At 48.9% G+C, this 20,798-nt stretch overlaps 2 protein-coding genes across 14 annotated transcripts in view, besides 2 other annotated features; one reads left to right on the top strand and one right to left on the bottom strand.

The window, feature by feature from the left end:
• The window catches only part of NHSL2 (NHS like 2), a 242,442-nt gene that overhangs the window by 16,992 nt on the left and 204,652 nt on the right, over positions 1–20,798 (bottom strand). For 7 of the 12 annotated variants that reach the window (NM_001438805.1, XM_047442065.1, NM_001013627.3 and 4 more), the window contains 3 exons: positions 4,061–4,216; positions 2,077–2,204; positions 1,591–1,786 (listed from right to left, as the gene is read on the bottom strand). The exons of 2 other annotated variants lie outside the window; for them this stretch is intronic. In NM_001438805.1, coding sequence (NP_001425734.1) covers positions 1,591–1,786; positions 2,077–2,204; positions 4,061–4,216 — 480 coding nt within the window. The remainder of the gene's footprint in view (positions 1–1,590; positions 1,787–2,076; positions 2,205–4,060; positions 4,217–20,798) is intronic. 3 more of the 12 variants (NM_001438806.1, XM_047442068.1, XM_047442069.1) reach the window with 1 other exon arrangement.
• Positions 4,300–4,359: a silencer, noted in NCBI's record as "silent region_20903". NCBI's record gives its function as "represses an Ori minimal core promoter by ATAC-STARR-seq in GM12878 lymphoblastoid cells {active_cell/tissue: GM12878}" and the evidence as "EXISTENCE:reporter gene assay evidence [ECO:0000049][PMID:35858748]".
• On the top strand, positions 4,380–9,185 carry RTL5 (retrotransposon Gag like 5). 2 transcript variants are annotated; one of them, NM_001024455.4, is made up of 2 exons: positions 4,380–8,131; positions 8,585–9,185. In NM_001024455.4, the coding sequence occupies exon 1, from the start codon at positions 4,755–4,757 to the stop codon at positions 6,462–6,464; it is 1,710 nt and encodes a 569-aa protein (NP_001019626.1). In that variant the 5' UTR covers positions 4,380–4,754; the 3' UTR covers positions 6,465–8,131; positions 8,585–9,185. The 2 variants fall into 2 exon arrangements, with proteins under 2 accessions (NP_001019626.1, NP_001392080.1); NM_001405151.1 differs by having other exon boundaries at positions 4,380–9,185.
• Positions 4,520–4,589: a silencer, noted in NCBI's record as "silent region_20902". NCBI's record gives its function as "represses an Ori minimal core promoter by ATAC-STARR-seq in GM12878 lymphoblastoid cells {active_cell/tissue: GM12878}" and the evidence as "EXISTENCE:reporter gene assay evidence [ECO:0000049][PMID:35858748]".

Here is a 20,798-nt window from a genome sequence, read left to right as displayed (position 1 = left end):
TTACTTAATATTATTAAAAAAATTTTTTAGAGCTGTATTTCTCTTAAAGTGCTAGGTCAGTCTTTGGGTGCTGGGAAATGGCTGGGTCAGAGTCAAGGCAAGGCAGGGTGGTGGGGCGAGGTCTGTGATTCCCCCTCCCTTTCTCTCATTCAGCCAGCCACACAGCTGCACACGTTCACAGACACCTCAGCAAGTGGCTCTGTGGGCAATGCTCAGGGACAGCCTCATTGAGAGGAAGACAGACATTTATTTATTTATTTAGAGACAAAGTCTCACTGTCACCCAGGCTGGAGTGCAGTGGTGTGATCTCGGCTCACTGCAATCTCTGACTCCTGGGGTCAAGCAATCCTCACATCTCAGCCTCCCGAGTAGCTAGGGCCACAGGTGTGCGCCACCACGCCTGGCTATTTTTTTGTATTTTTGGTAGAGATGGGGTTTCACCATGTTGCCCAAGCTGGTCTTGAATTCCTGAGCTCAAAGGATCCACCCACCTCAGCCTCCCAAAGTGCTGGAATTACAGGCGTGAGCCACTGTGCCTGGCCAAGATAGACATTTAGACACAAAATGTTCAACATCACTTCTGGAGTCTTTCCTCATCAGCCCTCACTCCTTTTGGTATATTTCCCTAGGCTGTGGGCTGTATTTCCTGCCTCTGATTTTCTGAAATGATGCCAGTGACAGTGGAGGACCCCATATCCAGGGAGCATTGCCACATGTGGCCAGAGCTGTCCTCATCATCTTCATCAACATTTCCCAGCAGAGCACAGGCTGGCGCTGGCTCACAGGACCCCTCTGATCCCTTTAGGTTACTGAGATCATGGTTTCATCATGTCGCTGGCCCTATCTCCTTCTCAAATGACTGGCCCTCCTTCTCTTCCCCTTACAGCTGATGGAGTGTAGATCATGGATTAATAGTGAGCATGGTATAGTGTGCCACATGCCCCCAGAGCCACAGCCAGCTGGGCTACATATAATACAGCACGTTCCCCACTCTTAAAATTGTACTGGGTCCCCTTTTGGTCTTTTTGGCCTTAGGACCTTTCTACCACTTCTTTTCTTGAAAACTTGCCAAACAAGTTGAAGAAGCCCACCTTGCTAGAAGACTAGTGTCCAGTGAAAGTGCTACCAGGCCTTTGGTCTGTGCCCAGGTGTACTCCTCCCTTGTTACCACCAGCACTCCAAACCCCACTCTCCTGCTCCGACTCTTATCAGTGTACTCCAAACCCAGCTCTGGGCACAAGAAGTTGTCTTGCCCTGACCCAAACAGAACTCACAAACTTTAAGTTTCCATAAGTGCTCTGAAGAGCACAGAAGTTCATAAGGCTTTGGAGCTTTCTGTTAAGAAAATTTTGCTTGCTATCAAATGGTCTCAGTTAGGGTGGCAGTGCCAGGAGGGGGTGAAGAAAGAGCAGCCAGCGCCCCCTCTTCTGCATGCCTCCGTTCCCTGGCAAGAGCCATGACCGTGACAGCGCAAGGTGAGCCGGTAGCAAAGAAAGTCTCACTTCCCTCCCCCAATACCCAGTGCATCAAAGAGGATGGTCTGTAGAGGCATGAAGGGAAGAAGACAAAGGCGGTGCTAAGCAACTCTACCAGAGATGTTGATGGGCACAATGTCAGACTGCGTGGAGCAAAGCTGAGGCCACCGCTTCTCCTCTAGGATGGGCAGAGGGAAAAGGCTATTCCAGGCAGTTTGCTTGTCGGCTGTGGTAGACAGGCTCAGGGAGGCCTCGGGGGCCCTCACACCCTGGGTGGTAGTCTCATCCTCGCTCAGCTGCCGTTTTGTAGGCTGTTGGGAGAGAAGGTGATGGAAAGGGTGTATTCCTGCCTGGCAATGAGCCAGTGCCCATAGGGTGGCTGTTTAGGCTGGGTAGTTGGAGGCTTCGTCTGGGAGGCAGGAAAGCGTGGACAGGCCACCAGGCCAGGCACCTGCTGTGCAGGGCCTATCCCAGTGGGGCCTCAGGGTAGCTCTGCTGGTGAGCAGGGCTGAGCAGCTTCCAGTGGGTAAAGTAAGCAGCTGGAGGTCTCTTGTCAGTGGGTGCATGCTGGCTCTCCCAGGTGGGGGATGAGGCAACTCACCATCAATATAAACTCCAGACGCCTGGCAGACTGGGGCCTTGGGTTGGGGGTGGGCTTAGTGGCCTCATCAGAAGAGCGGAAGGTCTGCCCCACAAGTCTGGCCTCCGAGTACTGTTCCTCATATTCTTCTGAAAAATAGCACAGTGGAGACACACACTCTAGGGTGCCATGGCCGAGCGCTGGGCCGGGGAAGGGCCATGAGCCAGGACTCCTGCTCTAGCTGCCAGGCCTGACTTGCATTTTCTTTAGGCTATTTCCAGGTGTTTGAGCCACTGGATTTGGAAATGGAAAAGTGCTTGCTTCCCAGGACCATGAGGATCGAGGAGAAGAGAAAGTCAATAAATTCATGCTGTGGTGGTTTGGGGACCAAGCCCTTATCTCAATGATCCCCACCTTGAGTGCTCAGTTACGAAAAGAGGCTCAGAATGCAGACACCTTTTGCTACTTTGGACTGCAAGTTCCTCTCTTTGAAGCCCTGCAGCTCTTAAGGTTTTCTGCGACCCTACCAAGGAAATGACCTGTGTGAAGCAAGAAGAGATTTACACCAGGAAGTCCAATCTGGAGTTCTTTCTTGGATGTCAAGAACTTTTACTTGAGCCTTTGTGGGCCGTGTTCCCTGCACCTTAGTCCCGCTGTAAGTGATGTCAGGTCTAGGAGGGCTAAGGTGAAGGAGAGGGAAGGAGGAGGTAACAGCATAAAAGAGGCAGAAGTTCAGCGGCATCATCAGTGAGTAAGGATGCACAAGATTTGAATAGGGTTGATTGAAGTGATGAATTTGATGAGAATACATGAAGAAAGTGAGAGTAGAGAAGGGACATTCATGCTGTATGTACACTGAACAAAGACTCAGAATCACAGAGATTTGGGGTTGCTCTTGGGGTTCTTTGGTCCAACGCCTCATTCTGTGCCCAGACTCCCTCCTCAGCAGCCCTTCTAGGTGTTTCTTCAGCCTCAGCGCACACACCTGCAGGGAAGGGGAGCTCCCTCCCTCCCAAGGCAGCTCATTTCTTCCACGGACAGTTGGGGCTGTCAGGTGTGTCAGAAAGTTCTTCCTTATCTGGAGGTGGAATGTGCCTCCTTCTGGGTTTCCACCCACTGGTCCTAATTCTGCCATGGTAGCAACACAGAGCACATCGACTCTTTTTCTGTGTGGCAAGTCCTTTGTTATCTGAACACAAGGCTCATGGTGTCCCTTGGCATCTTGCTTTTCCAAGGTCACCACTGCCCTGGTAGGGGGTGGGGGTTATGGCTGTCATCCTGTTGGTGGCCCATCAGCAGTTTTCTATTCGCCATTAGAGTTAACCTTTATTAGTATAGATAAAGGAGTGCTGACAAGACCTCTTTTCATGCTCAACATCCACTGAGCACCTCTTGGCAGGTGGGGAGGGAATCCAGCCTTGTGCCAGGTGCTTCTGGAAACCTAAGGGTAGCAAGATGTGATTCTTTACATCGAGAAGCTCAGGCTTGGTTAGGGGGGACAAAATAGGTGACCTCTGGGTGCTGTGTATTGGGCTTACTTTGGTGAGGCAGTAGCTATCCAGGGGTTATTGCAAGAGCAGAGTGAGTGAAGCCCAGAGTGGGAGATCCTGCAGATGCCCCCTTTGTCTTCTGGTGCCAGGATCCCAAAGGCATGGGCGATGTGGCAAGAGGGGGGCTGGAGGGAATGTAGGCCCACATTGTGGGAGTCTCCCACCCAGCTCTCGGTGAATGGCATAACTTATGGCCCTGCCTCAGTCTCTGTCCTTGTTTCCCCATGGGCTACTGAGCTGAAAAAAGGGGCTGGGGATGGGGGGAAACAGCCCTGGAAATAGCCTCTTTCAGAATCATTAGGCTGAAAGGTGAAAGCTGGAAACTGCTTTGTCGATTGTTTTTAAACTCTCTGTCTTTATCTTGCTGGTCCCTGTCCTCTTTCTTCTTTGCCTCCCTCCTGCCGCTGCGCATCTCGCTTCTGGGCTCCGGCCGCAGCCCCCCTCCCTCTCGGTACCTTGCAACAGGCTCTGGAGATTGAGCTGCGCCTCCCGAAGCAGCTCCTCTACACTCGGGGGCCTGCCCGAGGAGAGGAACACGTTCACTGGCTGTCGCCATGACGACCTCGAGTGGGCAGTCGCTGTCGCATTTTCCCGACCCGAGTTAGCTGCAGCTAGGGAAGGAGAGAGTCAGTGAGAGGCGCAGGCGAGCTGGAGGGGAGCGGCGCGCGGCGGCCAGTGGGCGCCCGCGGTTCCCCAAGGCCCGCCCCTGCGTGGGGTGGGGGGAGTGCGAGGCTGCGCTTAAAAGGCGGGGAATCGCCGGCCGCAAGATTTTTCCTCGACAGATCCTGCCGCAGTCCGCTCCCTCCCGCTCCGCTCGCCCCTGCCCGCCCGCCCGCCCGGTCGCGCGGTCGCCGCCGCCACCGTGTCGCCCGCATCCTCCGCCTGGCGCCTCCGGGCCCCGTGCCTCCGCCCGCCCTCTCCGGCCCCGGCGACGAGGTAACGCGCCCTGGGCCGAGCCGCCGGGCCCTCCGCCCAGAGCGCCGCCCTCCGAGCTCGCCCCGGTGGGTGTGGCCCGGCCTGGCCCGTGCCCCGCTGCCGCACTTCGGTCCCTCCCGAGCCCCGCCGCCGCATTTCGGCCTCCTCCGGCCGCCCGTAGTTCCAGTTCCCCTTTCCCCACCACGGAGCCCCAGGGCCCCTGGGCTTGTCGAGATGTCTGAGGCGTCAGGAAATCTCAACAGCCTCCGCATGGCGAATGTGGCCCTGCGCGAAGAATTAAATGCCCTTCGCGGGGAGAATGCCAATTTGGGCCTCCAGCTCGGGAGAGCCCTGGCCGAGGTTAATTCCTTGCGGGGCAATGTCTCCAGCTACATCCGCTGGCCAGTACCCATAGTGCCCGTCCTTGCGGAGGAGAACTTGGAGTTCGCGCTCAGTGAGATCGAAGTCATTCCCGGGGGAGAACTGCCCTTCTTGTGCCGGCCTCCCCCACGCGCGGAGCCCGACTGTATCTCGGATGATCTTTTGATTAACGTGATCCAGGATCGCAGCACCCCCGACGGGCCCGCTGACCCCCCTCTGCTGCCCATCCCGCCCCCGCCGGCGCTGCCTCCGCCCGCGTCAAAGGAACCGCCCCCGCAACCCCCTCTGGCACCGCTGGAGCGGCCTGAGATAGAGCCCTTTTCAGGAGACCCAGTCTACCTGGCTGAATTCCTGATGCAGCTAGAGACCTTCATAGCCGACCATGAGGTTCATTTCCCCGGGGGCGCCGAGCGGGTGGCCTTTCTGATCTCCTTTTTCACTGGCGAAGCCAAGGACTGGGCCATCTCGGTCACCCAGGAAGGAAGCCCCTTGCATGCCAACTTCCCGCGCTTCCTGGATGAAATCCGTAAGGAATTCTGTGGCCCCATCCCCCCACGTGTGGCTAAAAAGGCCATTCGCAAGCTCAAGCAGGGCCACTGTACCCTCGGCAGCTATGCAGATGCTTTTCAGTTCCTGGCCCAATTCTTGTCTTGGGATGACTGCCGCCTCCAAAACCAATTCCTCAAAGGCCTGTCGGAATTCTTCCGCAAAGAGCTCTTATGGTCAACAGAAATGGCCGACCTGGATGAGCTGATTCTCGAATGTGTGGAGATAGAAAGAAAAGTGCGCGTTCCCAAGCCTATCCCGCTCCCTGGAGTTCGAAATATCATCTTCCCTTTTGCTCCGAGTCCCAATGAGGAAGAAAGTGAAGATGAAGAGTACTACAGTGAAGATGAAGACCAAGAGGCACGCAGGCACAGGCTTCACTCCAAGGACCAGAGGAAGCGCATGAGGGCTTTTCAGCAAGAGATGAAGGAGAAGGAGGAGGAGGAGATGAAGAAGGAGGAAGAAATGAAGAAGAAGGAAGAGAAGGAGGAGGAGGAGGAAGAGGAAATGAAACAGAAAGAGGAGGAGGAGGAGATAAGGAACAAGAATGAGGAGGAAGGAGAGAGTAAGGATGAAGAAGATGAAGATGAGGATGGGGGCCAGAAACCAGAAGGAGAGCCACAGCAGGATCCAGGGACTGAGGAGACCTATGGTGAGGTGGAGGAGGAGCCACTGGATGAGGCCCAAGATGATGACCTAGATGAGCTGATGGAGATGGAGCCGACCTTTGTTCACGCGTCATCCCAGACTTCTGGCCCCACAAGTGGTTACCACGCCGAAAACTTCCTGGGTGCATCACCTCCCATAATACAGCCTAGCAGACGGAGGAACCAGAATCGAGTCCCACTTCTGGAAGGCCTTCCAGGCACCAATTCACCATTCTACAGCTCCCCCCAACTGATTCGCCGCACAGGTCGTTTAGGACAACGCCAAGTTCGAAGACGCCCCCCTGTGCTTTTCCGCCTCACTCCGAGACAGGGGGGCCACCGAGCTGCTCGTGGCCGAATTCGAGTTTGAGTGCTGGGGCCAGATGGCCACCCAGAACACACCCTTCTTTTGCATCCCCCGCCCCTGCTATTGCTGCCATACCTGCCCCATTTGCTGACCAGGACTTCAGGGAGTTTCAGACCTGCAGAACCTGAAGAAGACCTGCAGAATTCCAGACCATCTTGCAACCGTGACCAGAGAGCGACGTGTGCCCAACCAGGGCCACCTGGGAAAGGAGGGATCAGCAATAGCTGCCCTCTTGGCATGTACTCTGCTCAGTCCGGCCACGAGCTGGAGAGCAAGTTTCTGGGCCTGTTCCCATAAATGAACTGGTCACCCTCTTGTATTTCCCCTCTGGTTGTTCCTAACCCTCACCTCTCCTGCGTTTCTTCACCCTATGTTCTACAGTTTTATTCTCTGACTGACCCACCAGGACTTCACCCAATGCCTCACTGATCTGCCCCAATGAGCAAGAGGACAGGCTACCCTGAACTCCTAAAGCCACTGAGGCCAGTTGCTAGATATAATCGATGGTGAGCAGGATGGTATCCAGAAATGTCCCTAGAATCCTACACTCATTTCATGCCACACCTCCAGCAGAGGGCCTGGAAGAGGACCCGACATCTAGCCCAGTGAGAGTGTGCAAAGCCACATGTCAAATGGACAACTTGACGGAGATTTGCCCTTGACTGACTGTGCAGGCTGGTTCCACTTACAGCACTTGAGTTTACCTTTGCACAGATTCCTGTATCAGGGCTCTTGGACTGACTTGCCACACATCTGGAGCCCTTTCCTCTCACCACATTGCCCTCCTGGGCACCCCCGGTGGACAGCGCCCAACATTGCAGGCTCCACAACTTTCCTTGATGTTGCCTAAAGGGTAGCCAGTTAGGGTTCCGGAGAGGAGAAGGAGGAAGAAGAGGAGGAGGAGAAAGAAGCAGCAACGATCATTCTGCCATTGTAAAGAGTGACTCTTTCCTTAGGGATGGTGGTCTTCTCCCCTTGCCAGGCCTTGGACTGCAGCCCCCAGTCAAAGGTCTTTGCAGGACACTTTCTATCCTTGGAGTTGCAGAGGAGGCCTGATTGGCCATTCCTTCTGGGACAGACAGAGAGAGGGCCCATGGCCTGCTCTGAGCTCCCTTCAATTTCAAGGAACCCTTAGTTCTGAGAGGAGAGAGGAAGGCTGCACCTACCGTGGCCTCACAGCTGGGACCCCTCATGGGGGCCAACCCCTGGCCTGCTGCTGTGCTTCAGTGACACAGTAAAGCTTAAGAGGGTGGCTGCCTCCTAGGAACTCCTGGGACTTCTAGGTACAAACTCAGGTGCCCTTATAAAGAGACCCACTGCTTGCCTTGAGTCCAGAAAGCACTGCTTCTGCAGTGAAAAACACACACTTACTATGTCAGTTTTGGCCATAAAATGCCAGCCAAATCCACTGCTGGCCTGAACTGCCCCTGGACACTGGACTTTCTGCACAGTGACTGGCAGCAGAGCAAGTGCAGCCAGGGTTTGTGGCCAAAGGGAAGAAAGCATAGTAAATTCAACCTCTGTTCCTCATGGGAGTCTGACCGATAATCTCAGGCGGACCTTAGGATCTTGGGCCTGGAGGCAAGAGAAAAAAGCTGGAGGAAGAGGAGTCGCAGAGAAACCCAGTCCTCTGACTGGTTTCTGGTGAGGTCTCTATTCATCAGTGGGAGGTAAGATGCCCTTTTCATTAGCGCTTTTGTTTCTCAGCCTGGGGATCAGTGGATTTGGATTCCTATAACCTGTTGCTACCTTTTAAAAAGATCCCCTCTCTCCAAAGAGAAAAGTAATACATAATCATTAAAGAAAGTTTGGAAAATAGAGAAAACTATGAGGACAAAAACCCCCCAGCCATTCAGAGTCCCACCACACAGAGGCAAGCACTATTAACACTTTGCTGCTTTCCTTTCTAGTGTGTTCTTGCTATGTCTTGTCAAAGCTGAGATCACCCTGCCAGTTCTTGATCAGCAGGATTTAAAATGGCTGCCACCTGTGCAGTCATGCATACTGAATAATTCATTTAAGCATTCTCCTAATTTGTTGGACCTTTCAATTGTCTGGTTTTCCCCATCCCCACCAGGGCAGGAGTAAACAACTTTGTAAAGAAAATTTTGTCTGTTTTTCAGCTGATTTTATCTGATTTCCTCAAGAGTGCATTCCAGAAGGGGACCTGCTATTCTTCGAGGGGACCTGCTATTCTTCGAGGCAGTGGACCCTGTTTGCTGATGGTCAACACTCTGGCCCTGCTGCCCCATGTCCCTGTGGAGAAGTGTGAAGGACGGGTGCCTTAAACCCACACTTCCAGGGACCCTTCAGCACAGGTCCTGCCTGTTCCCATGGTGCTTCTCACCCTGAACCCTCAGAGCTACAGCCAGGGATAGAGCAGATGAGCAGTGAGCTGGTTTCCACCCTCTGGGGCAGGAGGGGCTTGGGCTTCCCTTTGACCCTCTTCCTTCCTTTCCCAGATCTTCAATATTTGTTGTGATGTAACAGCCATAAGAGCTGTAAGAGGAACTGTGGGCTTTGGGAGCTTTCTTGGGTTGAAAGAGGGGTGGGGGGAGGGGATGCATGCAGGGGTATGAAGGCAGCCCAAGGTCTCCCAGAGGCTCGGGAGGAAACCCTTTTGGAATACATGTGTTATTGTTGCATTACTGTGTTGTGAAGATAAGAAGCTGCTCTGTATGCTAAAGCTTTCTCTCCTCAATAAAAATATAAAGGGTGTGTAAAGATTGTGCCTCTTTGTTATTGAGCAAGCATAGATGGGTACAGAGTAGGCATAGGGTACTTCCAAGGTCCCCTGCCGGAGTCAACCCTACCCTGAAGTCTTGAAATCCTTAGACAAGGAAACCAAGGGCCGGTGAGGCTCAAGGGACCTGTCTACAGTTCTGTGCATTTGTGGATGGAAGAAATTGTTGGGAGGGAAGTGGAAGCACTGGGCATCTTGAAAAATAGCATTCGTTCTCCCGGGGACTATGGGTGGCCCAGCCCTACAGGCACGCACGGGCATGCATGGGACTTTGAGTGAAGGAAGAGAAAGAGGCCAGGTTGGCTGGGGAGGGCCCTTCCGCTTTTTGGCACTAGGTGGCGCTATGGGATACCAGTGAGTTAGCTGGTGATGAATCACAAGTCCCCAGAGCAGTCCATGTAAGAGGCCCTCCAAGCAAGATCTCATGGCTCCTCACGGACTGTGGGGTCAGAAGAAACTGAATCCCATTCTGGGATTTGCCCAAGTTTCCCAGCATGAATTGGACTTTTTTTTTTTTCCAGGGGAAGTGGGTGGGAACATTCATTAAGCCTCTGCTGCTTTTGAGTGCTGTGCCAGGCACTTCACATCTGTTATCTTATTTCATTCTGATAATGATATCCTGGGGGGAAAGAACTAACTACCCTTACCCTCATCTTAAAGATGAGGACACTGAGGCTTAGAGAGAAGTCACTGGCCCAAGGTTGACAGCTAGTGAGTGGCTCTGTCACAGCCCTGCAGCTGCCCATTAGCTCTGGGGACACTTAGCACCTCTCTGCCCCCACTCCGCTGGCCCTGCTGTCTAACAGGCCAGGCTGGTCTCCTAGTTCTGCCCTGTCCTACCCCCCCTGCCTCCAGCTTGCAGGATTCCCGTGGGGGAAACAAACCCTGGTTTCAGAGGCACATTTGCTTTGTCCCTTTAAGAGGAAGGGAGGGAGGGAGGAAACCATGGTATTTCTGACCATGTGCCAGGGACTTTCGCCAACATCATTTCATCTCCACAATTAAGTGAGGCAGGTGATGCTGTCTCCTTTTAGAGCTGAGGGACCTGAATCTCAGAGATATTAGGTCATATGGGGGACTCCAGGTCTTCGTGACTCCCAAACCCATATACATTCTTAACTCAAATACACCGTGCTTGCTATCTCCCAGGAGAGACTCCTGACAAGCTTGAAGTCTCAACCTGCCTGGATTCTGGGTCTTTGCCAAAGCAACGAAGCACGCATCAGGTGCACCATCTCTGGAAGCTCTGGGGGAACCAGCCAGGTGGCAGTTCTAAGTATGTGGTTGACTGCCCCTTCTAGGGAGGAACAGGGTTATGGGGTCGTGGGCTTCATCAGTGAGCACTAGGACTCCCCAGTACTCTTCAGGGTGCCTGACAAGGTCTCCAGCACCCAGGGGATTTCTTATGACATCACAAGTAGTGATAGGTGAGCCCAGATTGTGTTATGGCCAGAGAAGGTGGAAAAAAAGACAAACAGAGTCAGCCTTGCCCCAACCCTGAAGCAGGAAGCACTGTGGGAATGGGGAAAAGAACCCTGGATTCCAGTCCAGCCTTGCTGCTGACTCTATATGGGCTCTGGCATGAGTCTCATCCCCTCTCGGGCCATGGCTTCTTGATCTGTCTAGTCACTGTTGAGTCCCTGGGGCCCAGCACACTACTTGGTACACAGTAGAATCTCAATCCTAGTTTGGTACATAAATGAAGAAGTGAGTGAATAAATGGGCCACTGGATGGAGACCTAGAGGCAGCCTGCTAAGGGCATCTGCAGGTGGTACAAAGCTTGGAGGACTAGAAGATGTCCTCTAATGTCCTCTAAAAGGGAATGAGGGGCCAAAAAACTCTCCCTAACCTGGAAGGATGCACTGAAATGACCTTTACTAGGGGCTCATCTGAGATCCTGCAGTCAGGTTCAGAAAAGCAACTGCAGAAGCCTAAGTGGGGGAGATGTGGCTTAGAAGAAGCTTGTGAAAATGAAAATCTGAGGATGTGAATTGACAGGAGATCGGTCAGAATCACAGACTGACCTGGCTGTCAGATGCGCCAATGCTTTCCTGGGCTGCTGCAATAGCAATGTGAAATCCTTGAGATGGGCAGGGCCCACCTGGGGCCCTGGCTGCCCTGTGGAAGGGGACAAAGTTGCACCTCACAGAAGCCCTTTGGCTTGCCAGGAGTAAGAAAACATCAGAATAAAAGGAAGGAAGGAAGGAAGGAAGACAGTAGAAGGGTGACAAGGATGGCGAGGGTCCTAAAAACCCTCTCCTGGGCTGAGCGATGGAGGAAGGCAAGGAAAATCTTGCTGCCTGTGAAACAGCTGTGACTTCCCCACGTTCATTCTGTAAGTGAGGAAACCAATCAGGCAAGTGGCTTGAGGTCACTTGCCCTGTTTGCCGAGTTTGACTGTGAACCCCAGCAGTTTGACATCCAGAGCCCATGCTCTTAACCTCTACTCCCCACCTGCACCCACGCCGTTGGAAACAAAATCTCCAGGAATGTCTACATCTAGAAAGCTCCCTAGGCAATTCTAACATCCAACACAGCCCAGCCTAGAGCAGCATAGAGCTTTGGGAACTAACTAGCCCGTGTGACATTTAATGGCCAGTTTGGTTCTGAGCCTTCCCCTAGAGCTCCCTGGAGCAAGAACCGACCCACAGATCCAGTTCTAGCACAAAGTAAGTGATCAAGAAACATAGCATGCGTGACGATCCCTCAGCAGGTACCATGGTCTGATGTGAGCTTGCCCCTCCTGGATACCTGCCTCAGACAGCAGGTGACACCCATTTGAGAGAGATGTGCCACAAGGTAGGTGCAGAATTCTGCCCCCGAGAAACCAGGTCCATAGGAGCCAAAGCCTGTGCCCTTGACCGCCAGAAGTGGCTCCTGAGGGTGGGGGTGGACTCTTCCAGGGGATAAGGACAGGCATTAATCAGGCAAGAGACCACCCCCTTAATGGGAGGTGGGGAGTGGGCTCCACCTCCGGCCAGCACTTCCTGTATCCTGCCCAGACTAGGGAAAGCTCGGCAGGCCACTTCTCCCCAGGGACTCCAAAGACAGAAACACAAATACCAGGGCTCTCGGTTGCCCTGGTAACAGCGGGACCTACTTGGAAGAAAACAGTTTCTTAAAGGCTTAGGAGGGTGGATATTTCCTTTGACAGAGAGCAGGCCCTGACCTGCTCCCTGTGTCCCCTCTCCCCTTCCTGCCTGCCACACATGGGGTAGAGCGGGGCCCCTCGCCTCAGCAACTCTCCTGATGGGGGGTGGGGGTGGTGTGTTTGTGTGGGAAAGTAGGGCCCAGGCTTTTTATTCTGCTCTTGCAGTGGGCTGTTCGGGTGAGAAAGAGGCTAAAAGGGAAGATGTCAGCAGGTGAACTCATGGCGAAGGTCCCACGGCCTGGGGAAGCCTTGCCTTGTAGGATCTCCTCACATGACCAAGCTAGAGAAGGGCGGGTGCCTCCAGCGACTGTGGTCTCCTTCACCTCTTGCATCATACAGATGAGGCCTGTTGGCTGTGAGGCTTGCCAGAAAGAGTGTCCCCAAATTGATGACCTCTCCACCCACAGTTCAGCCCTTCCTCCTCTCTCACCTGAGCTACTGAAGCAGGCTCTAGTCTCTACCTGTTCTAATAGGTCCACCTTCAACATGCCTGGGGGTGGGGGCCGTGGGCCTTTGAATTCACACACCTGGCCTTGCTGCTCCTCTACAAAACCCCTCAATGGCTCTCCTTCCTCGTGGGAAGACTTGTAGACCTGCTTTTGGCATTTTCTTCCCTATCTGCTCATTAATTATCTATGCCATCTCATCTGCCTATGCTATCCTTCTTTCCTCTTCTACTTAGCCCAAATTTCAGACATCTTGAATTACTTCCTGCTTTTCTGTACATACGAGGCCCTTGCATGCCTCTGGGCCTTTGCACACTCCATTCCCTTTCCCTTAAAAATTCATGAACATTCCTGGCCTCACTCCAACTGGCAATGTTCTCCTCAGTTCCAAGACCACTTCCTCCGCGAAACTGCCTCCACTCCCCAGACAAGCCCCTGCCCTTCTGAGTTCCCCTCAGGCCCTCTAACCCCGACCCCACTGGCCTGTGAGGCTTGAGATCTACTTGGGAGCAGAGGCTGGTCCATGACTCCAAAGTGAATTTGTTACTGCAAGACTGTGGTTCAGTGGGAGAACATGGACTTGTCCTCTTTGCAGATGAAGGCTGCATTGGCAATGGCCTTTGGAAAGAGGACTGGCCCCCTGAGACCTGACTGAGGACTGATGGTATGCACGTGGAGCTAGGAGCCCCCCAGATAAGGTTGGAGGTGTGGACAGTAGGGAAAGCAGGGGAGACAAAGCAGGAACTTGCAGAGTTGCTCCTTCCCAGCGAGCACCCTGTTGATGGCTTCCATTTCTCTGAGGGACATCACCTCCTCTCAGTAGTGTGCTAAAGAGTGACCTCCACTGGGCTTGAGAGTCACATAGACCTGGCTTTGAACCCTGGCTCTGCCACTCCCTTGCTGTGTTCCCTTGACTTAGTAATTTCACTTTTCTAAGCCCCAGTTTCCTTTTTCTGAAAATTGAGATAATAATAGCATATATTAATGAGATGATTGATATAAACCAGCAATAACAACAAAAATAGCTAATAGTGCTTACCGTGTATTGGGCATTAAGTGGTTTACATTTCTTAACCCATTGAATCATCACAACCCTATAAGGTAGGTAGTGTTATTGTTCTGCCTTTTGCAGATTAAGAAACTAGGCACAGAAAGTTTCTCCTGACCAGTGTCACAGCACTAACATGCAAGTGCTTTTGACCCCTCCAGTAAGATAGGCAAAGTTCTGTGGATCAGAAGTGAGGCCCATGGAGCAGGAGAGTTCCAAGATCCAGGGCAGGGTCTTGGTCTTTTTTTAGGTAATGGACGCTTTTGGTAGTTTGGTGAAACCTCCGGATTCCTTCTCAGAATAATGTTTTCACGTGCATAAAATAAAATACATAGAATCACAAAGGCAAACAATCATACCGAAATGGTTAGAAAAATATTTTTTAAATTTTGTGATCTAGTTGTGTTACTACTTTCATAATGCGCTAAATCACAAGATTTAGTGGCAATTCTATAGATTAGAAATGTTGAAGTGGTGATGAACACAAATGATTTTTTGAGATACTTACAACAACAGTAATGTGATATGAAAATATTTGTGATTTCTGTTGGTGATAAAGTCACAGATACCGCTAACACTACTGTGGTTTGTCACTTACATTCCTAATTTGAGAAAATGCTAAATTGTTGTTTGAGGTTCATGGAGAAAAGATCAACTAATCTTCCCATCCAAGTTTGTAGACCCTCTAAATTCTCTCCACACACCCCTTGGAGGTCCATGGAGCTCAAGTTAAGAAGCCCTGCCCTAGGGTGTCAGAGAAAAGACAATGGCAGCGCTGTCAGCTACGGGGACAAGCTGGGGGCTGGCAGAAAGACAAGTGTGTGGTTTCTTTTTCAAGAACTGTTTACAGAAATTGTGAAGTCTGGCAGCTCCCTCTTCCTCTTGGTCCTGAGTCAGCAGCCCAGGGTGGGGCTGAGGCGGTCACACTTGGTTTGAGTTTCAAGCTCACTACATACTCATCCCAAAGAGTTGATTTGTTGCCATTTCCTTACCATGGAAATGTTGGTGGGCTTTGCTCCATTTTAAAATGGGGACCTGCTTGCACACACAGATTTTTCATTAGTCTGGAAATAATCTTTAAGTGGACATGTGGCTCTAAGACATCTTCAGAACTAATGAATGTTTCCACACTAGCACCCTAGCCAGGCTTAGGGCTTGCAGAGGGAAGGGGAAAGATGACCAACTGGGCCAGGGACCCCAAAACACTAGCCAGAATTAGCACTTGCCCAAAATCCCCAATTCTTTTTCCTGACTTCCTGACTTTACCGTCTGTCAGCTGAGTCCCTGCCAAATAGAGAAGCACAGTCCTGGGTGCCGTGACCAAGGAGACATATGGCCCAAACAGCAGTAGGCCTCTGCTTTTCTAACTTGCCTCTGTTCCCATTCAAGACTCAAAGCGAGTGGCACTCACGAAGAGCAGGCCCCAGGCGTATCCACAATGCCTTGCGTGGGGGTCCTGGCTGGCCAGGGCCTGCTGCCTTCTGCTCTTCCCCAGGCCCTCATATTTAGTCACAAATGAGCAACACTTGGCTGGTGGCCATATACTAAAAGGGCTGCAGCTTAATTTCCACAGTGAGAGGGTAGAATTTTGACAGCCTCATGCACCATAGCCACTGGCTAATAAAGAAGCTGGTTCAGAATGAATCTGCCTCAGTTAGCTGAGGAGACATAACAATATGCTTTGGAGGTTCAGGCTGAGAGCTCCACATGCAGGAGTGTAGAAAAGACTCATTTTCTTGACTGTAAAAGACATATATGTATGTTCTTAGGTTGGCCAAGGCTCTCAAGTATAGGCAGAAGGAGGCGGAGGGCCAAACGGGAATTCAAAAGAAATTTGGTTAGCTAGATTGACCAAAAATCAAAGAGAGAAGACCCCAATTACAAAAATCAGAAGTAAATGAGGGGACATTATAATCACCCTTACAGAAACAAAAGGGATTATAAAGGAATACTATGAACAACTGTATGACACTAAATTAGACAACTTAGATGAAATGCTTAAATTCCTAGAAAGACACAAACTATTGAAGATGGCTGGACAAGAAATCAAAACCCCAAATAAACAAATAACAAGCAAAGAGGTTGAATTAGTAGTAATCAAAACTGCTGACAAAGAAAAGCCCAGACATAAATGACTTCATTGGTGAATTCTTCCAAACATTTAAAGAAGAATTAATGCCCATTCTTCACAAGCTATATAGAGGAGGTAATACTTCTCAACTCATTCTATGAGGCCTGTATTACCCTGATACCCAAACTGACAAAAACATCACGAAAAAACTACAGACCAATATCTCTTATGAGTATAGATGCAAAAATCCCCAACAAAATATTAGCAAACCAAATCCAACAACATATAAAAAGGATCATACACGATGACCAAGTGGGATTTATCCCAGGAATGCAAGATTGTTTTAACATCTGAAAATCAATTAATGTAATACACCATATCGATAGACTAAAAATGATTTGATAAAATCCAACACTCTTTCATGATAAAAACCCTCAACAAACTAGGAATAGAAGGGAACTTCCATCACCTGACAAAGGGCGTCTATAAAAAACCAACAACAGCATCACAATTAAAGGTGAAATACTGGATGCTTTTCCCCTAAGATCAGGAACAAGACAAGGGTATCCACTTTCCCTACTTCTGTTCAACATTATACTGGAGGTTCTAGCTAGAACAGTCAGACAAGAAAGAGAAATAAAAGGCATATGGATTAGAAGGGAGAAGTAACCCATATTTGCAGAGATGACATAATCTTGTACATAGAAAATCCTAAGGAATCCACTAAAAAACTATTAAAACTAATAATTGTGTTCAACATGGTTGCAAGGCCATGAAATCAATTTAAAAATTATATTTCTGTATACTTGCAATGAACAACCTGCAATGAAATTAAGAAAACAATTCCATTTACAATATCATCAAAAGAATAAAACACATAACAATAAATTTAACAAACATGGCGTGAAACTTGTATGCTAAAAACTATGAAACATGATACAAAATTAAAGGTGGAAACAAATGGAAAGACATGTTCATGGATCAAAATACTTAATATTGTTAAGATGGCAATATTCCTCAAATTGATCTACAGATTCAATGCAATCCCTATCAAAATTCCAATTTCTTTGTAGAAATTGACCACCTGATCCTAAAATCCATATGGAAATTAAGGGGACCCAGAACAGTCAAAGCAATCTTTAAAAAGAACAGAGTTGGAGGACTCACAATTCCCAATGTCAAACTTTATACAATGCTATAGTAATCAAAATAGTGTGTTGCTAACATAAGGATAGACATATAGATCCATATAGTGGAAAGAAATTGAGAGTCCTGAAATAAATCCATACATATATGGCTGATGGATTTTTGACAAGGGTGCCAATTCCATTCAATGCTGAAAAGAATAATCTTTTCAGTAAGTGGCGCTGGGACAACTGAATATCCAAATGCCAAAGAATGAAGTTGGAATTCATTCTCATATATAGACAAAATTAAACTCAAAATGGGTCAAAGACCCACATGTAATGGCTAAAACTATAAAACATAGAAGGAAACACAGGTATAAATCTTTAAGGCCTTAGATTAGGCAGTGGTTTCTTAGATATGACATTAGTAGCACAAATAACATAAGAGAAAAACACAAATTTGACTTCATCAAAATTAAAAACTTTTGTTCACAAATAATGCCATCAAGAAAGTGTAAAGAAACCAGGCACGGTGGCTCATGCCTGTAATCCTAACACTTTGGGAGGCTGACATGGGAGGATCACTCGAGGCCAGGAATCTGAAACCAGCCTGATCAACATAGCAAGACCCTGTCTCTACAAGAGGAAGACAAAATTAACTGGGCATGGTGATGTGCACCTGTAGTACCAGCTACTTGGGAGGCTGAGGCAGAGGATTGCTTGAGCCCAAGAGTTCGAGGCTACGGTGAGCCATGATGGTCCCACTGCACTCCAGCCTGGGTGACAGAGACTCTATCTCAAGAAAAAAGCGAAAAGGCAGCCTACAAAATAAGAGAAAATATTTGCACATCATATGTTTGATAAGAGACTTGTGTCCGAACATATAAAAATATCTTACAAATCAAAGGAGAAAGACAAATAATAATCCAAATCAAAAATGGGCAAAGGATCTGAACAGACATTTCTCAAAAGATAGTACTATATACAAATGGCCAACAAGCACATGAAAAGATGCTCGACATCATTAGTTATTAGGGAAATGCTAATAAAAACCATAATGATATCCCACTTCACACCCACTAGGATGGCTATAATAAAAAAGTCAAACAAATGTTGGTGCGGATGTGGAGGAAGTGGTACCCTTGTGTTAATACATTGCTGATGGGAATGTAATGTGATGCATCCACTTTGGAAAACAGTCTGGCAGTTCCTCAAAATGTTAAACACAGAGTTACCATTTGGCCCAGCACTTCCACTCCTAGGCATGTACCCAAGAGAATTGGAAACATATGTCCACACAAAAACTTGAACATGAATGTTCATAGCTGCATTATTCACCATACCCAACAAGTGGAAGCAGTCAAAATGTTCATCAACTGGTGAATGGATAAATAAATAAATAAATAAATAAATAAATAAATAAATAAAAATGTGGTCTATCCATACAATGGAATTATCCAGTCACAGAAAGGAATGAAGTACTGACGCATGCTATAACATGGATGGACCTTGAAACATCATGTTATGTGAAAGAAGCCAGTCACAAAAGGCCACATAGTCAGTGATTTGATCCTATGGCATGTCCAGAATAGACAGATCCATTAAGACACAAAGTCGATTAGTGGTTGCCTAGGGCTGGGGAGGCGATTGAGGGGAAATGGGGAGTGACTGATAATGGGTAGAGTTTCTCTCTGGGATGAAAAATTGTTCTAAAATGGATTGTGGTGATGGCTGTGCAACTCTGGATATATTAAAACCCAGTGAATTGTATGCTTCAAATGGATGAATTGTGTGGTTTGCACATGTTTTATGTCTTAATAAAGTTGTTATCAGAAAAGAACCTTGGTAAGTCAGAAACATACCACAATATCATACTCAAGCATCAAAAGAATGGCCACAAAATGTGATCAGGGCAGCTGTGATAAACTGCAGAAATTCTAGTGCATCATACTAGATCCTATAGTGACTATGTATCAACAGATATGCTACCATTTAAAAGTAAACTGGTTACTGGGATGCAAAGATATATACTATAGAGACAAGCCCCATACTCAGACCTCAGTAAACTCTTACTAGAGTGTCTTTGTTCTAGTTTAAAGGGGAAAATAGGGCTGAGAGTAGCATGCCTATGTGAAGTTTCAAGCTCACCACATGCCCACCCCAATCATCTGACCTGGGTCTTGATCTTGAAATCAGCTCTCCTGGCCCTATGCCAGGATTTCACAGCCCAATCTGTAAGACCCTGGTACCTATAGATATGTAGGTGGCAAAATGGAGATAAAAACCTACTGACTAGTTGTACTTATCCTTTATAGATGGAGATTTAGTTGGCACTCTCAAAAAATAGTCAGACTTTCCCATAACAGCTAGCCAAGTTTCTCAGCTTCCAAGACCACCCTGGTTCTTAGCTGGATTCTTTCTCCCTCCCTGAGGATGAGGGAGACCCCATGAGCACCCCCTAGCTGTCCTCACTGGGGCCAGCCATCCTTGCTACTGTTATTAAGCATCCTCAGGTGGACCACACTCTTGCTCACGTCTCCTCCCTTCTAACCTTGAGGAAACTTGAGCTTGATTTTCTCCAGTGTAACCTGATGAGCCCAGAACCACGCCCCTGCCCCTGAGTGGAGTGGGGACCCACGCACGCAGTCCTTTATCATGAGTCCTCTATAGTAGCCTCTACTTCAACTCTGTCCATTGCTTATCTTGTGATTCAATATGTTTTTCTTGTCCATCTGAATTTATTTAATATTTGGATCTCAAAGATCTATTATATTTAACCACATTTCAAAGGTTTGTGATTAGAGAAAGAAACCATCCATAATTTCACCTTGTTTATGTGCATAAGTATTTTTACATAAGTACAATCGCAGTGAAGATAAAATTTTGTGCCATATTTTTTTACTTATCAAATCACAGGAAACTTTATGATCCAGTTAGAATTACTGTCATACTAAGGGAGCAGACAGAAGTCCCAGGCTCCATTATTTCCAACGATAACAGTTGTTAACATTTATATATATATAGCCCTTACTACAGGCATTGCTCTAGGCACTTGACAAATTTAATCTTCATGACAGCCCTATGAAGCAGGTACTATTATTTCCCTCATTTTACAGATGAAGAAATTGAGACACTGAGAGGTTAGATGGCTTGTCCGACATCACAGTTACTATAACCCAGGCTGCCTGGTACTAGAGTTTGCACTCATAACTCCTCTAGGGGGTCTCAAGCTTGAGTGTGTGCATCAGAATTCTTTGGACAGCCTGATAAAACACGAATTGCTGGGCCCCACTCCTAGACATTCAAACTGTCTAGGAGTTTGAATGTCCTGGGGAAGGCCCAGGAATTTACATTTCTAACAAGTTCCCAAGGGATACTGCTGGTGCAAAGATCATATTTTGAGAATCACTGCCCTACACTACACTAGTGGCTCACATGTTAGAGATACCTGGAACCCAACACCAGCCCTTACAGTGGCCAGGAAGGGAGCATTCCTTGTCATGTGCTTTCTTATTTCCTTCTGTCACCCTTCCCCCCACAATGGCAGGACATCCACTGAGCAGTTGCATATCACAAGGGGGTTGTCTTATCCGTGCCAGCCCCAGACTCAATTAGCTAAATGCAATCCCATCCATTAAAAGCCCTGATAAATCAGTTCCTGGCTGTCAGGCTGCCCTGGCCGCTGCTGAATTAATGCCTGTGCTGTCACTTGCCTGGCGCCTGTAGCCAATTGATCTCATAGGTTAATAA

Source organism: Homo sapiens, chromosome X (genome assembly GCF_000001405.40).
Source record: "Homo sapiens chromosome X, GRCh38.p14 Primary Assembly".
NCBI classification, from domain to species: Eukaryota; Metazoa; Chordata; class Mammalia; order Primates; family Hominidae; genus Homo; species Homo sapiens.
Note: the sequence above shows the minus strand (reverse complement) of the source record. Positions and strands in the feature narration are given on the sequence as shown.